The 18,017-nt window shown below is 43.8% G+C and overlaps 1 protein-coding gene across 11 annotated transcripts in view, besides 1 other annotated feature; it reads left to right on the forward strand.

Annotated features, from left to right (window-relative positions):
- Window positions 1–18,017, forward strand: part of PKIG (cAMP-dependent protein kinase inhibitor gamma) — an 87,163-nt gene that overhangs the window by 41,945 nt on the left and 27,201 nt on the right. For 4 of the 11 annotated variants that reach the window (NM_001281444.2, NM_181804.3, XM_047439850.1 and 1 more), the window contains exons 2-3: window positions 8,766–8,912; window positions 15,978–16,047. The gene's annotated coding sequence lies outside the window, so the exon portion shown is untranslated. Of the gene's footprint in view, window positions 1–8,759; window positions 8,913–11,280; window positions 11,386–15,977; window positions 16,048–18,017 lie in introns of those variants that run through there. The other 7 variants (XM_047439851.1, NM_007066.5, XM_017027615.2 and 4 more) reach the window with 4 other exon arrangements.
- Window positions 5,701–5,840: an enhancer, noted in NCBI's record as "active region_17927". NCBI's record gives its function as "activates an Ori minimal core promoter by ATAC-STARR-seq in GM12878 lymphoblastoid cells {active_cell/tissue: GM12878}" and the evidence as "EXISTENCE:reporter gene assay evidence [ECO:0000049][PMID:35858748]".

Genomic DNA, 18,017 nt, shown 5'->3' on the forward strand with positions numbered 1-18,017 from the left:
GTGGATATATTCACTCTGGGTGATTTAGGATTCTAAACCTAAGGAAGTATTCAGTTTATAGATGTAGAGATTAGCAAAAGGCCCTGCTAGTAACTGATAGTAGCAACTGATAATAATAGCTAACTTTAAAAAATCCAAGTAATACATGAATATGACTTTTTAAAAAGTCTCTGAGTCTAGAAAGGCATCTGTCTCCTGCTTACCCCTCACCCTGAGGCAGCCATTTTATTTTTCTGCTTTTACTTCTTTTGGTGGTTACTTCTATTTCTCTAAATAATGTTACTCCCATTTCCTTTTTTAAATGAATTTTGTTTTTGTCAGAAAGGTACATGCACATAGTTTGCCTTAGTCTTTTTAAGGTCAAATATCATAAAAGATTTGTAATAAAAACCATCTGTTCCCTGCCCCCACCCTTTCTTTACCCTTCCTCCTATCCTGCTCCCAAGGGCATACACTTTTGATCCTTTTAGGCGTTTGATCTAGCATTTATCTCTCTATATCTAAATAATATGCTTATCGAGATATGGTTTTTTTTAACTGTATTACAGAAATTTTGAAACATGTACAAAACTAGAAAGAATAGTATAATGAATCCTCATGTACCACCCATTACCCGGCTTCAAAAATCAAAAACCCATGACCAGTTTTGTTTCATCTGTGCTGGTAGCCATTTTCCCCTGCCACTAGATTATTTTGGAGTAAATTCTAGACATCATTTTATCAGTAATTACTTCAGCATGTTTTTTTTGTTTTTGTTTTTGTTTTTGTTTTTGTTTTTGCAATGTCGCCTGTCACCCAGGCTGGAGTGCAGTGGTACGATCTTGGCTCACTGCTACCTCCACCTCCCTGGTTCAAGCAGTTCTCCTGTCTCAGCCTCCCAGGCAGGTGGGACTACAGGCACACGCCACCATGCCCAGCTAATTTTTTTATTTTTAGTAGAGACAGGGTTTCACCATATTAGGCTGGTCTCGAACTCCTGACCTCAGGTGATCTACCTGCCTTGGCCTCCCAAAGTGTTGAGATTACAGGCGTGAGCTACCGTGCCCAGCCTAGCATGTACTTTTAAGAGAATAAGGACTCCTTTTAAAAATATAACCACACTATCACACATAAAATAATTAATAATCCTTTATTATTAGCAGTGGTCTCCATTTAACTCATAAGTTATTTTTTTAGTTCTAGTCAGATCCAAACAAGGACCTCACATTACCATACTGCTTTTTCTTGACTCATCAGTTTTTTGTTTGTTTTTGAGACAGTCTCGCTCTATTGCCCAGGCTGGAGTGCAGTGGCACCATCTCAGCTCACTGCAACCTCCACCTCCCAAGGTTCAAGTAGTTCTCCTGCCTCAGCCTCCCAAGTAGCTGGGATTACAGGCATGCGCCACCATGCCTGGCTAATTTTTGTATTTTTATTTTTGAGACGGAGGCTGGCCGTCACCCACGCTGGAGTGCAATGGCATGATCTCGGCTCACTGCAACTTCTGCATCCTGGGTTCAAACGATGCTCCTGCCTCTGCCTCCGGAGTAGCTGAGATTACAGGCACCTGCCACCACGCCCAGCCAATTTTTGTATTTTTAGTAGAGATGGGGTTTTGCCATGTTGGCCAGGCTGGTCTCAAACTCCTGTCATGCAGCTGGTTTTGATCAGACATCCTGTCATGCTTTATTTGGCCATTCACAATCAATAATAAAAGACTTCTTTAAGGGGATAGGTCTCAGTTCATCTGTTTGTCCCATAGGCCTCTGCCCTGCCTGGGAAGCTGCTGGGTACTGGAAGGGTACTAAGGTACTAAGTGGAAGATGCTTTAGGGCACATGAGCAGGAGCAGCAGTTAGACTGAGGGCCCTTCACGTGTTAGCATAAGGAGGCCAGTCTCTTACTAGAAGCCCTCGATCAATCCTAGGCAGTTCATTCAATTTATTTAAAGAGGCCTCCTGTCTTTGGCTGTGGTTCTGCAGAGCTTTTGGGCCCTCTGTGTGCTGCAGGTATGGGATAGAGGAGCTGGCTGGCACAGGACCTTCAGTGGATCCCTTAATTTTTTGGCCCTTCTGAATCTTCTCGACGCCTGCTGTCTTCAGGTTCAGAGCCTCCCTGGGGTCCCACACCATTCCTTGTCTCTCATTTCCAATGGTGCTTTCTTGTCCTTGTGCTCCAAACTTCAGCTTCTGTTGTCATACCTCTCTGAACTTTTTCTATCTTCCGGAAATTATTTGAAATGAAATCCCTTGTTCTCTAATGATCCTTCCTTCAGCAAAAAGGCCCAATTTGTAGTTCAGAAGACGTGGTGCTTTTTACAAAAAGTATGTTAATGTTTTACCATAGACTGGACTAAGTAGAGTGTGTGTGTGTGTGTGTGTGTGTGTGTGTGTGTGTGTGTGTTTAGAAAATATTTATTGAGTTTCCTATTTTATGCCAGGCACTCTTCTAGGCACTTGGGATAGATGTATTCAGTGAACCAAGGAGACATACTGTTGACTTTGTGGAGCTTACAGTCTGGTGGGGAAACACATGGAACGTGTACTTATAAATATGTTAAGGGTTATAAGAAGAGACATAGGAGTACCATGAGACCAGTACAGCAGGGGGAGCTAACGTGGCTCAGAGAAAAGGGCGCCCTAGGGAAGTGATATTTAATCTGAAATCTGATGGCTGAGTAGGAGTTAACCAAAATAAGAGGGAAGAGCCCTTCAAATTTGTATGTCAAAGTGCAGTAGCAAGTGAGAGTCTGAGACCAATAGAGAGTAGCAAGTGAGAGCCTCAAACCTTCTCCTGTTGGAGCACCAGGCTGTACTACCTCAGGATAGTCCCTTGCCTTCTCTGGATCTGGCATTCCTCACCCCTAAAATGAGGAGACCACATGCTCCTTTCAGCTGCAAAAATCAATGAGTCCAAGACTGTTTAAAGTTAAGGTCACTGTTTAAGTGAAGGTCCATCTCTCCCAAAACAGCTGTAGTTGGAAACTTATCTCAAGCTGGTGGGAAGTGGTTTGAAAAAAGGCAGGGAGGGGACAGTGTGATATCCTGCGAACCTATCCAGTTTCTAGCCACATAATCACTGGGGTCAGGCTTCTCTTCTCCTTCTGGCTCTCCTTCAGACACACCAAATCAGCAGTCCAAAGGGGACCACAAAGTGGATCCTCAGGACATCGAACCCTGAAGAAAAAGCAGCCACGTGTACTCCAAAACCAAAAAAATACGTTGAGCAATGTCTTAGTCATCTTTTGTGGGTTTGATTCCCCATCCCCCAAAAATGACTTAAGTTTCTGATTTCAAAACATTGTGTGTATGTGTGTGTGGTTTTTTTTTTGAGACAGATTATCATTCTGTCACCCAGGCTGGAATGCTGTGGCATGATCTCATCTCACTGCAACCTCTGCCTCCCAGGTTCAAGCAATTCTCCTGCCTCAGCCTCCCGAGTAGCTGGGAGCCTCCTGAGTAGCTGGGACTACAGGTGTGCACCACCACGCCCAGCTAATTTTTTTGTGTTTTTTTTAGTAGAGACAGGGTTTCACCATGTTGGCCAGGCTGGTCTCGAACTCCTGACCTCAAGTGACCTGCTCGCCTCAGCCTCCCAAAGTGCTGGGATTACAAGCGTCAGCCACCGTGCTTGACCAAGAACATTGTTTTAAGTGTAAGTGTGGTTCCTTCTCTGGGGCCTTACACCAGGATTGTGGTGAGACGATGTATTGTTCTCCTTTCTTTTTTCCTGTTCTTCTGTATTTTCTTATCTTTTTACAATAAGCAATTATGATTATAATTGGAAGAAAACAAAATCTACTTTTATTCGTAAATCTCAATCAATATACTTCTCAATTAATTGTCTAGAAAAAGCATGGACCTTCTAACTGCATGGCACAGTGAATAAGTGAGTTGGAAATGGTATGACAGCTGAAACCTGCCTTTGATGGGTGATGAGCGATTGCACTGTACAGCAGCTGTGTGGACTAGAAAGTGGGTAGTGGTGGCCAGAATTTCTTTATTCATATACTCCTTCAACAGATATCCGTCAGTTGCTAGCTGATATAGTTTGGATGTCTAACTATATTGGTGGATAGCTGTTGGATGTCATGTTGAAATGTGAACCCCAGTGTTGGAAGTGGGCCCTGGTGGGAGGTGTGTGGGTTATGCGTACAGATCTCTCATGAATGGCGTGATCCCCTCCCTGCTGTAATGAGTGAGTTCTTGTTCGGTTAGTTCAAGTGAGAACTGGTTATTTTTTAATTAAAAAAAATTATTTTGGCCGGGCATGGTGGCTCATGCCTGTAATCCCAGCACTTTGGGAGGCCAAGGTGGGCGGATCACGAGGTCGGGAGATCGAGACCATCCTGGTTAACACGGTGAAACCCCATCTCTACTAAGCATACAAAAAAATTAGCCGGGCATGGTGGTGGGCGCCTGTAGTCCCAGTTACTCGGGAGGCTGAGGCAGGAGAATGGCGTGAACCTGGGAGGCGGAGCTTGCAGTGAGCCGAGATTGCACCACTGTACTCCAGCCTGAGACTCCATCTCAAAAAAAAAAAAAAAAAAAATGCAAGGGACTACATGTGTGCACCACCATGCCCAGCTAATTTTTGTATTTTTAGTAGAGACGGTGTTTCACCATGTTGGCCAGGCTGTCTTGAACTCCTGACCTCAGGTGATCTGCCTGCCTTGGCCTCCCAAAGTGCTGGGATTACAGGCGTCAGCCACTGTGCCTGGCCCTGGTTGTTTAAAAAGAACCTGGCACTTCTCCCTCTCACACTTGCTCTCCATCTTGCCATGCAACATTCCGGCTCTCCTTTCCCTCTACCATGTCTAAAAGCTTCCTAAGGCCTCACCAGAAGCAGATGCTAGTGCCATGCTTCTTATACAGTCTGCAGAACTGTGAGCCAAATAAACCTCTTTTCATCATAAATTATTCAGCCTCAGGTATTCCTTTATAGCAGTGCAAACGGACTAACACTGCGTAACAAATTAATCAATCTGTGCCTGTGATTTTCTCATGTGTCAAGCAGGGATAATAATTATACCTACCTCATAGAGATCCTTATGGGGTTAAATGAGGTAATTTATATAAAGCAGTTAGAATACAACCAGGCACGGTGGCTCACACCTGTAATCCCAACACTTTGGGAGGCCAAGGCAGGCAGATCACTTGAGCTCAGGAGTTCAAAACCAGCCTGGGCGTATGGTGAGACCCCCGTCTCTACAACATAAATAAATAAAATAAACAGAATATTACCTGGCATATGGTAAATATACAATAATAGTTTTGGGGTTTGTTTATGGATTTCCTTATTTTAATAAGTATCTCATAATATGTACAAAATGCTGCTATATTAGACACAGATCTTTTCCTTAAAAAGTTAGGATTCTGGCAGAGAAAAAAGACCTGCCCCCAACTAAATATGTGTCATCAGAGAAAAGGGTATGTTTCTTAAGAGAGAAACAGAGCATACTAAGGAAATTCAGAGGAAGGAGAGACCCCTTCTAAACTGGGGGTAAAAGGTGGAATTAAACAGCCAAAGTTTCCTTCATCCTCAAATGGAGCTGATGCTGCTGTCTGTGAAAAACAGCCAAGTTTCCTGAAGGGAAGCCCTTTAAGAGGTGGTAGTGCAAGGGGGTTGTGGATTCAGGACTGGCACCACATGGTCCCTAGTTAGAGTGCAGGCTCTGCCCCTTGCTCCCGTGAGCCTTTGAGCAGGTTGGTCGGCTCACCATGCATCTGTTGCTACAGCTGTAAGATGTGAATATTAATAATGTCTCCTGCACCCGATTATTGTGAGGATGACATGAAGTGGTGTTCATAGAGTGCTCAGTGCACAGCTTGGCCCCAGCCCACATAAGTGTGTCCAGTATTGTCAGTTATAAGAAGAAATGAATGTGCCAGTGTTGCTATGGTTCTGTCTTCCGGGATTCTGTCACAGACGTAGAATTATTCCGTTCACAAGGGAAGTGATACAGAGTACATGTTGTTGAAGAAAATGATGTTGTTTTTATGAATGGGCTCCTTACTATTATTTTTGTTCAAGTAACAAAACATGATTCAAAGCACCCATCTTCAAGAGCCCAGCCTCATTTCCTGACACCTACTCAGTCTTCTGGAATAAAGGCTCAGCCAAACAATAGCCCTGACCTCCAGTCCCTCCAAACTGAGTGTTGCTGCTGAGAACAGGCCTTACAGCTCTGGGTGGGCTTTTGTTCATTACTCATCGTGACATTCTGGAGAAATACAGGACCCTTTTGACTTCCCGACCAATCTCTGACTTTCTTTCATTGTCACATCACCATTAGGGCAAAGGATGATGAAATGGTCAGAATTAGACAAGAAGTATTCAAATATTTTTCAATGTATAGTATGTGCCAGGCACATAACCCACACAAGAACCTTGGAGAGTAAGGCTGTTATTCTTCTCATTTTACACTGGGAAACCAAAGCACAGCAAGAAGGTCTAGGGACCAGAAGGAAGCCCACATCTCTCTGAGCTGTGAACGGCTGCTCTCTGTGGGTTACCAGGCTGGTGTTTTTTTGTTTTGTTTTGTTTTTTGTTTTTTGTTTTTTTTTTAAAGACAGAGTCTCACTGTCGCCCAAGCTGGAGTGCAGTGGTGCAATCTCGGCTCACTGCAACCTCCATCTCCTGGGTTCAAGCAATTCTTCTGTCTCAGCCTCCCAAGTAGCTGGGACTACAGGAACACGCCACCACGCCTGACTAATTTTTTTTGTATTTTAGTAGAGATGGAGTTTCACCGTGTTGCCCAAGCTGGTCTCAAACTCCTGAGCTCAGGCAATCCACCCACCTCGGCCTCCCAAAGTGCTAGGATTACAGGTGTGAGCCACCGCGCCCGGCCAGGCTGGTGTGGTTTTTATTCCACAGCAGTCCTACGTCACATTGTCACATTGTTGAAAAGCCTTCAGATTGACAAACTCCCTCCTAATATAGCCTGTTTTCTTGGATGTTTTCTGATAAGCATCTGTGTTTTCTGAGAACTAATAAAAATTCTTGTTAAACCACAAATTACCACAGCCTCTTCCTTACCTATAGAGAGCCGCTTTCCCAGTAAAGCTCCGGTCCTACCTTCCCATCACCATCAAAGTGGCATTGAAACAGATCAGATCTGCTCCTTTTGAGGGAGTTAGTTGAAGCCCAGTCTTGCTTCAGGCCACACAGGATTTGGGTAGCAAAGCAAGGAAAGCAGCCTCTCTGACCTAGTGGCCTGAGTGTTTCCTTTCCCAGGCTGGCTGCGGCAACCACTTTGAGAAATGGCATTGGCATTGGCATGTGTGTGGCATGTGTGCTGACCTAGTTAGGAGTTGAGGCTTCATTTCTAATTCTGTCCCTTTCGTTTTGAGCTGTGTGACCTTGGGCATGTCACCTAACTTCTCTGTATATGTCTTCTTATCCAGGAAGGAGAGATTAATAATGTAGCCTCATAGCACTTATCTGATTCTCCTAAGGATGTTATGAGAATCAAATGAGATTATGTACAACGAGAGCAAACATTTATTCAATACTTAGTATGTACCAAATACTTTCAGTTTCCTTACATGTGTTTTTTAATTCTCACAATCCTAAAACAGAGGCACTAGTATCCCACTTGACAGTTAAAAAAACTGAAGTTCAGAGAAATTAAGTCAGACAGGACTCAGATCCACATCTGTGGCTCCCAAATGATGTTCCTAACCACTATGCATGTCACTCGCTCCCCATTGTACACGAAAGTAGAGAGATGTTCTTTGTCTTTACCATCAAGCACTCTCCAAATGCAAGAAATGATCTCTCGTAACCACTGCTGTTCCATGTTGGTCCCTAAGGACACTTATAGCCTGTTACTTGTTTGTCTTATCTTGTAGTTTATGCTGCTGCTTTTCATGTCCCTAAGGACTTGTTCAGTGAATTCTTTTGGTTTTACTCCCAGAGAATCTGTTCATCTCCTTCATAAAGGGGGTTAAAGGTGCCCAGCTGAGCCTGGCATCTTGGGCAGTGGCCTCTGACTTCTCCAGGGTTCTTCCTTCCCTCAAGCATGTAGTTGGGTAGCTTGTAGTAAAATGCTCTATAATGCATTTGTTTATAAGTTCCCCAGTCACTGATTTTTACTCATTGAATCTCAGAAGTGGAAAGCACCAAAGCCAGCATTTTGTTGATAGGGAAACTGAGGTCCAGAGAGGGATGTGACTTGCTTGAGGTCATTCATTCAGTTGAAGGCCTGACCAAGACTGGAACCCAGTTTCCCAGGGGACACACCAGTGCTGTTTCCAAGCCTTCCCCGGGGGCACACATCACCTCCCCTACATGAAGGACAAACTCATGTACTGTGCCCAGCATGTACCTAGGAGACCTGGGAGAAATGAAACAACTTGGAAAATTGGGCAGGAAGAAAGAGATGGGTGTGGGGTGGGGTGAAGATCTCCACCCTAACTAGTATATTATATACCAAAGAAAGGAATTAAACACACAGGAAAGCAGACAACCCACTAAGAAGCAAAGGAATTTACCCAGGAACCCTGGCTCAGTGAGTGGATAGGAAGCCTTTTGTCACTAAAGCTGCAGGGTTGAAAATTGAAGGAAGGATATTAGGCAAGCGTGGTGGCCTGGGATGCAGTTACAGCCCCCTGGCTCATTGTCCAAAGGAAATGGATCTCTCCTGTGGACAGAGAGGTGGAAACTGAGTGAGTGAGTTGTGTGGTTGACATCATCAGGCTGAGCATTGGATTACAACAAATGGGGACTTACTTGGCCCGAGACATGGGAAACACCCACTAAAACCTCAAAGTGCTTTTCATTTAGGAGACACGGGGAAGAGACAGAGAGGAGGGTAAAGTGAGAATCCTGCCCGCACCACAGGTCTGGACTGCTAACCTTGAATCCTGGTTTCTTAAATTCTGCCTCCGCTTCTGACTGAGGACCACTGGATTTTGAGGAAACTTTGGTCTTGTAAGTAGAACTTTACTCTCCTCCCCTGCCCAACACCCCCAGGGAGAAGCAGAGCTTGGAGGCAGAGCTCTCTGGAGAGCTTGCTTTCCAGCCTGTTGGCCACAAAATGTCTATTTTTATATAATGATATATGTGAGCTTGCTCTGAAAATTATGGCCTTGTCTGAAACTGCCTAAGGCTAGTCGGAGCCTCCAGTCTCACAAATGGGCTCCATTCAGATGCTGTTTCATTTTTACTCAAAGAACTTTGACAGAGTATTCAGAGCTTTAAAAGCAGCTCCTTGCTCCAAATATAGGTGAAGAAATAAATCTTCCCTAAGAAATTCGTGTTTGTAAAACCCTTTCTTTTTTTCTGATTACAAAGGTGGTATAATAATTTTTAAACATTCTAGAAAGAAAAGTCTCCGAAAGTAGTGAAAATTCCCTATTATCTTCCCCCTCAGGAACATGGTTGTTGTGTTAAATTTCAGTTACAGATATGGTCAGACTCCATGAATTTACCACATATAAACCCAGTGCTGCAGCAGCTGTGTGGAAAACTCCAAGATGGAAAGGGGTTGGAAATCTTTAACCTTGGGTTTGCGATCTTTTTATTGCTTCCTTTTAAAAATTTGCTGTTTATGCCTGGAATATAAACAGGACATGTAAGCCTTTAGGCATTTTATTTGTTGGTATCTGTTTTCAGGGTTTGAAACTAAGCAAGCTACTCTGTAGAGAGGGAAAGAGGGGGCCCTTGCTGTACCCAGGTCCCTTACTTGGTGGGTCCCTGAACTGAGGAGGATTCCTAGGTGGCTTGAGATGGCTTGCAGTGTGCTAACAGGGGAGGTGTCCCCTCTTAGCAGGTTAAGTATATTTGAAAAGTTACAGCTAACGGGAAGATTTCAGCTTCAACAAAAAGCTACCATATATTAGAAGGGTCACCCAAGGAAACTGTCACCTTGGGCAAGTGTTTCACACTCTCTGGGTCTTGTTTCTTTATTTGTACCTAATGAGGGGACAAAACTAGATGATCTCTGTATTTCCAAATTCAGTATGAAATGAACTGTCCATATTTCTTTTCCCTTTGTATTGGGCCCTTATGGCTTTAGGAGCAAAGGACCCTAGGTTTTCAGTTTCCCAGAGTAGCTAAAAACGGGTGCCTGTAGGACAGTTAAAAGAAGACATAAAACAGGCAACATTAAGTTACTTCTGAGTTTTTATGGGTCTTTTTCAGATTAGGTGTTCTTGAAGAAAGAGAAAGAAAAAGTCTCAGTGGTAACTGTATGTGCACACGCATACACTAGCACATACACTTGGGGAGAGAGGAAAGAAGGAATTGGCATTATTGAGTATCTCTTAAGCACTAGGCCCTATGTTATGCTCAACCCTTTACAGAGCACTAGATGGTCAGTATTATTCCCTAACCCCATTGACTGAGGACAACCATCTACTTATATGTTTTCATATTATCCTGAACTAAACTGTATTTACATAATTACTGGCATAACTTCAATTCCCCATGTCTCCACTAGACCATCTGCACCTTCTCTGCGTGTCTGTCTAGCCCATCACTATGCCCCACTGCCTAGTAGAAAGCCTGGCACATAGGTACAAAGGAGACACAACTTAATTTAAACTTAAAGCCCGCCATCCTAGTTCCTCATTTGGCAAGAAAGAGGGAGAAGAAGGGGGAAAATCCCTCTATTTGCCCCTCTTTCATCATTTAACATAGAGCCACCCTCTCCTGCCACAAGGGAAGGATAGCCACAGCCAGAGTGCAAAAAAAAAAAAAAAAAAGCAAAAGACGTCAGATCTTGAATTTTGAGTTTCCAAGGTGCCGGGTCTTGACAAATTAAGGTTTTTGCTTTGTTTTGTTTTGTTTTTGTTTGTTTGTTTTGTTTTCTTTAAGGGCATCAGAGACCCTAATCCTCAGGAAGTTGTGGTATTTAGAAACTATTTGTTTGAATTAAGGTCCTAGTTAATAAGAGGGTTCTCAAAGGCCCTTGGCACTTCTTTTTTTTTTTTTTTGAGACGGAGTCTCACTCTGTCTCCCAGGCTGGAGTGCAATGGTGCAGTCTTGGCTCACTGCAGCTTCCACCTCCCGTTTTTGTTCAAGGGATTCTCCTGCCTCAGCCCCTCGAATAGCTGGGATTACAGGCGCCTGCCACCACGCCCAGCTAATTTTTGTATTTTTAGTAGAGATGGGGTCTCTTGGCACTTCTAAAGCTGCAGTCTTCCCCAGCATTTCATCCCATGAAGGTGGACTGTTGCTGCCATGGACCCACCCATGGGCATGGGCAGTGGGAAGGCCAGGGCATCCTCTGCTTCATCCCAGCCCCGCTGGGATCTTGAGATTTGGGGTAATCAAAAAAGGCATCCTTTTTCCTAAGGTGGTGGTGAGGAGGTGATGTTCTGGAAGGAAGGTACCTAGACTTTGTGGTCCCTGCCAGGAAGTGGAGAGTGGAAATGTGGAATGCCTCACACTCCTCAACTAGGTAGGCCTTCATGTACCAGATGAGGGTGGCTTTCAGTTCTTGTTTTGTGTGTCAAAGTTGCTCCTGTTATCAGTGTGTGTTTGCTGATCTCTCCCACCTCAGTCACTCCCGGCAGTGAGTTTAGGGCATCTTGGGAGTGGAGGTAGGTTGTGGAAAAGATGTGTCCAGAGATCTCATTTGGCTTTGGTATCTTCCTGAAATAAATGTCACACACAGGGCTGGGCATCTTGCATATGCTGACTTCTCTTAATCTTCACAGCAATGATGTGAGGCAGAGATCATCTCCATTTTACACCTAAGAAAGGCACAGAGAGGTGCAGTGGATTGCCCAGAGTCTCACAGCTGGCAGGGGCTAGAGCTTGAGTTCCCAATGAGAACTGGTTGTCCCCGAAGCCCTTGAATATTTCACCATACTGCAGTGCCTTTTTCATATCACCTCCCTGGATCTCAGTTGCTCCATCTGTTAAATGATGACAAGTGAACTCTAGTCAGAAGTCAGAGTGGTGTTTTGTTTTTAATTTGAATGCCTTTAGGCAGGTGTGTTCTCCAGTTCATTACCATTTGCGCATTCCCCTGTGCCCTCTAGTCTCCTGCCTGGCCCCTGGCCCCTGTGGGAATTTGCAGCCCTGCATCTGGTTGGTGTCTACCGTTTCTTTCGATTTAGACAATCTAGAGGGCAGTGAGAAATTGGAAAGGGGTAGCAGGTAAGAGCTCTCGAGTTCAGTGAGAAATTGGAAAGGAATAGCAGGTAAGAGCTCTAGAGTTCAGTGACAAATTGGAAAGAGATAGCAGGTGAGAGCTCTTGAGTTCAGTGAGAAATTGGAAAGGGACAGCAGGTGAGAGCTCTCGAGTTCAGTGAGAAATTGGAAGGGGATAGCAGGTAAGAGCTCTGCTTTCACCGCCTCCTAGCTGGGAGATCCTGGACTGATCACCTCACTTTATAGAACCTACTTCTCTTTCTGTCAAGTGGGGGGTCACAGTCATACTGACCTCAAAGGGGTGCCATGCGGATGAAATGAGATAGGGCTCATAAAGCACTTAGTTAGTACAAAAATACATGCTTAGGATTAGCTGCTCTCAATTTCCAGAAAGAGAATGTCAGCCAATGTACACAGGCATCTGCCCCCTCAGACATAGGATGGCATTTGCATGAGGAACCAGAAGTTATCTTTGAACTCATCATTTTGAAACCCCTGTGATGAACCCTGGAGCTGCCATGTTGGCTCTTCAAACCAAGCCTCAGCATTATTTCCTGTCACCCAGTCAAGTGATGCTGAACCTCAAATCAGCCAGCCAGTGCTGAGGCCAAAAGCAGAAGTGGGTGCTATTCTCTTGGGACCAGAGGACCCTAGCCCAGCCACTTAAGGAAGAAGCTGGTAACAGGTGCTGGCTGTGACAGACAAGAAGCTGAACTGGCCCAATTAACTCTGCCAAATGCTTTCACGAGGGGCCAGAAGCAATTCCTAAGTGGAGACTGAGGTGGAAAATCTAAAGTTCTGGGAAACAGGTTATTAATCATGACCCTAGGCTGAGCTCACTACCTCCTGGAAATCCTTCAGAAATGTCTTAGGAAAACTTGGAGTACTGCTCCTTCAAAGAGTGGTTTCTTTGGAAGTTGCCGTGGGCTCCTATGCTGACTGATTATGAATTGCAGATTAGAACACATAATGTATCCGCTCTTACTGGAGGAAGCTGCATTTCCAAAAAGAAGTCTCTTTAATGTTTCAAGAAATTACAGGCTTTAGCTTGACTCTTCAGAACTGAATAATGGCCCTTCATGGCACCGAAGAAAGTATTTGGTGTATTCTTACTATGTCCCAGGAACCTAGGTCAGTTACTGTTTTAGTACTTTATCAGTGTAGTCTTTAACATTCCATAAATGTACATTGAGGACCTGTTAGTACTAAGCACTGAACTAGAGGACCAGGGTAAAGACACTGCCTCTGGTCTTGTGGAATTCTCTGTGCAACAAGGGAAGATAGACAGAGGAGTGAATAATTTTAATGGCACGTGAAAAGTACTGCAAAAGAAATATGCACAAGTGCTACAAAACACCAGACACTGGATCAGCATATTGTGGAGGTCCTGATCTTGCGCTGGGTTGATTCCTTCTGCTCTCTCCCTACAATTCCTGGCTCTGGGAGCTTTGCCAGCATTTGCATTAGGGAGCAACTGAGAGCTGCCCCTGCTGAAGCACTCATTTCTGGCACCTTCCTATCCCCCGTGGCTTCAGAGGGGTGGAAAGAACACTTCCTTACAAAATGTATGGGCCCCACCTGAGAGGGCCCTGAATCTGAAGTCCAAAGTTGTAGTAAGGAAACAGAGGGACGGGTGACTTTTGTAGTCTAAAATCACCACTGATTTTCCGTTGGTTTGTTTTTATAACATTTATTGTGGATTTTTTTTTTCTGATTGCAAAATTAGAATATGTTCAAGGGAAGAAAAGCTAGATAGTACAGAAAAACACACTTAAAATAAATCATCACTCAGTGATTTCACTTCTCTGTTTTTGAATAAGGGCCTGTCTCCCAATCCCCCCACCCACATACCGCTGTATTTCAAGTTTAGCTCTAATTTTAATTTCTCCCTGGGCAAAGTCTCATGTTTGTTTGCATATCTCAAAGGTGCTTGTGTTGTGGGCTCCAATCACTACTATCTGCAATTGGTTAGAGCCTGCGGCCATCATTTATACTTTCCTGGACGTGTGTGTAGATTCATCTACTGCTAAGAACCCTTTATGTGTTAGGCATTATGCAAGGTGCGGTGGGGAATGTCGAGGTAAATAAGACTTTGAGGTTGCTCATGGCCGGATAGGAAAAAAAGACTCAGATAACATGAACACATTGTGAAAATGTGCCCCAAGATGGGGACAGAGTCCTGTAGAAAGCCTAAGAGATTGGAGGAGCAGTAGCATTTGAGCTGAGCCTTCAATAAATTTTTCATGTATTTAGCCAATATTTGTTGAGAACCTAATATCCGCCAGGCACTGGGCAAGGTGATAGGTGGATGATGTTAAATATAACAGGCATGGCCTTTACCTGCATGAAGTTTACAAGCACAAATGGTGGCGTTAAGAAGTCAATAAGCAGGGGGAGTGAAAGAGGAGAGTGTGGCTGGGGTCTTCCTTGAAAAGGTGGTATTCAAACTGAGAAGAGGGCTGGGCGCGGTGGCTCATGCCTGTAATCCCAACACTTTGGGAGGCCAAGGCGAGTGGATCACCTGAGGTCAGTATTTCAAGATCAGCCTGGCCAACATGGTGAAACCCCGTCTGTACTAAAAAAATACAAAAATTAGCCGGGCGCGGTGGCACGCACCTGCAGTCCCAGCTACTTGGGAGGCTGAGGCGGAAGAATTGCTTAAACTTGGGAGGCAGAGGTTGCAGTGAGCTGAGATTGTGCCATTGCACTCCAGCCTGGGTGACAGAGTGAGACTTTCAAAAAAAAAAAAAGAAATGGAGTCACTTATACCAAGAGTAAAGGAGGGAGAGGGAGTAAAGAAGGGTGCTGGATTATTCCTTCCTTTGCTCATTATTGATTCTAAAAATCTCACTTATTTTCTGTATTCAGTTTCCTTTCTATTGGAGAATATTCTTGGGGTCTGTGAATGGTAAACTTGCCCAGTCTTTGTTTGAAAATATCTTTTGCCCTCACACTTGATATGTTAGCTAGATATAGAATTTTTTGCATAGCATGTGTAATGAATGTGAAAGTTATACATGCCTCTTTAAAAGTTTTCAATCAAAACAGAAATAGATAATGTACAAAGTGAAAGTCTTTCATTTCTTTTCTCACAATTTCTCAAAAGAGAATAATTTTTTTCAAAAGAGAGAAGTTTCCCAGGGGGAACCATTGGTTACAGTTTGCCCTTTTCTATATATACTGAAAATTGTTTAAAGTGTAAAGTATGTATACTTTTTAAAAATGTGCACGTACACAAATGCTGTACTTTTTTTTTTTCTAAACATAAATAATCATGTTCACATTTGAGCAGGACACAGTAGTTCACACCTGTAATCTCAACTAGTCAGGTGGCTGAGAGTGGATGATTGCTTGAGGCCAGGAGTTTGAGGCTACATTGAGCTATGATTGCACCAGTACACTCCAGCCTGGGGACAGAGTGAGACCTGGTCTCTTAAAATTAAAAAGAAAATGTAAAGTTCTTTTTTTAATTAAAAAATGATAATATATGCAATTTTACAATATGCTTTTTAACAATCAAGCATGTACTTTTTTCCACATCAGTACAATGAAATCTCCTTCATTCTTTGAAGTTGCTGTATAGTTTCTCATGATATTGATACACCATAATTTAACTATTTTTCTATTAATAGACATTTAAGTTGTTTTCGCCCCTTGGTTTTGCTACTATACAGTATTTCACTGAGTATCTTTTTACTTAGGTAAATATATCTGTAGTATAAATTCCTGGACATTTCAGGAATGTGACGTGTCTAGGAATTTGACCCCAAAGGATATGTATGCACATTTAACAAGTTAATAGATATTGTCAACTTGTCTTCCCAAAAGATTGTTTCAATTTATAATCCCAGAGTATGTCTGGCTCTAATTTTTGTTTTTCTTCTGGTTCCTTAGAATTCCCGTACTGATTAGTCAACAGTGGAAAATCTGAAGAGATGCAAGCAGGAAAAAGAAATTAAACCAGGTAGGTAGTGGCACTGTTCATACTCTACTGCCAGAGCAGCACACGTTTTTGCCTGAATATCTTTATTTCTGGTTGAAGGAAGAAAATACGTAAGTTCCAAACTAAATTAGTGGGAGATTTTGACCTTATGAAGAAAAGGCAGGATGGCTCTTTTCAGAAGTTATATACATAACAGCATGCTACAATTTCACAGTCAAGATTCTGTTTTCAGGCGTTTTTTTTTTAATAGCATCAGAAAGAAAATTTACCTTTGGTGGCTTAAGAGGGGATGGGTTTCCCGGCCATGTACTTAAGCTTAAGCAGGTGGAATCATACACAGGAGTTATTAGCAACATTGGGCCTGGTGCCAGCTTTCCTCTCCACCAAGTGTTTGCTGTAAAGCTGTTTTCACAAAGACCAGGGCACATTATGGGAATTTTCATTTTAATGCTGTAATAGAGGAGCAAAAGCCAGCAAAACCCAACCCAAAGAAATGGGTTCGGCCCAGTAGTCTGGTGAGAAGGGATGAAGATGCAGTCCCTCCAGCTGAGAACAAATTGCCATTCAAAGAGCACAAGTGGCCCACCTGGCAGTATGGCCACCTTGGGTCCAGTGTCCATAGTTTATGATATCTAAATGTTTCTGGCATAAGTTAATAATTTTAAACTCAGGGTAACATAATAATCGACTTTTTACCTAAAGCAGCAGTATTTATCAACAAATCTGGTGAATTTCTTTGAATTGTCAAGTTGGAAGTACTGGGTCCACAGAGATCTTTTCACCCACCAGGCATCCATCAGCATCCATGGATGTGGTTGTTAAGGTATCAGAATTGAAGGCTATTCTAGATTGGCCTACACCCACCTGGACCTTCTCCATAGCTGGAATTTTCACAAAGAGGCTAAAGAGCCTGGGGATGAGCGCATCGCTCTGAAGAGCTTGCCGAATCCACTGTGCATCTGTCCATAAGCTAAGGATGGTGTGAGGACTGAAAGCTGCATGGGAGAGAGAAGGTCTTGTGATTTTCTCTCTCTTCAGCACTGTAGGGGGCACATTGCAGCTGTGTCTGGTGCAGCTCAGTTTAGACTCCTGCCTCAGCCAGGAAAAGTTTTTTTCATTTTTACATTAATTTAGCAGGTATTTATGGAGCATCTTCTATAAATTGGACACCAGATAACAAAGCAAAAGTGGCACAGTCCTTGCCCTCAGGAAGCTTGTGGGTCTGGCTGACAGTAGACTAGTAGCAGTAGTCTGCGGTAGGTCCAGAGGGCTAGTGGGCAGAGGGTGCTGCGGCTTGAAAGGTATGCAGGAGATGACTTGGAGAAGAGTGGGCGGGGACAGGCTGGGGGCTTGCGGAGCAGCACAGCGAAGGCCTGGAGGCTTGGGGGGTGCAGCACTCCATGGAAATTCCATGGGCCAAACACAGTGCAGAGGGGGTTCCCTGGCTGGAGTTGAGTCTGGAGGTGTCCATGAATGAATCTGAACTTTATCCTGATGGCTCTGAATGGAAAGTCGCTGGAGGGCTTTAAGCAGGGGAGAGTTGTGAGTCAGGCTTAGGAAGGAGACTGTCTAGCTTCAGTTTGGGTAAGGGACTGAGAGAGTTCTAAGGGACTGAGAGAGTTCCGCACTCTGCCTGGCCCACTCTCATCACCTCTCTTCTTAGCGCCTGTGCTCCTCCTTCCCTTGGAACTTCAAGAAGGCAAAGGACAGAGCCCGAAGTCTGAGATAAGATAGACTCCTTGGGGAGAAAAGAGGAAGTGGTGCTGGGTGGGTGGGTGGGGGCACCCAGTGTAAAGCAGAGTGTACAGGTTGCCTTGGACAAGTCACTTCACACCTATGAGCTTCAGCTTCCTTATCTATTAAATGAAGATAATAAGTATTACTCTTCTTTTCTCTCATCTCATGAGATATCATCATGATATCTTAAAATATCATGGATATTTTACATGCCCAGCTAGGGCTTCCAGAGAAATCTCTCTGTTTCGTTTGCC

This window comes from Homo sapiens, chromosome 20 (assembly GCF_000001405.40).
Source record: "Homo sapiens chromosome 20, GRCh38.p14 Primary Assembly".
NCBI lineage: Eukaryota > Metazoa > Chordata > Mammalia > Primates > Hominidae > Homo > Homo sapiens.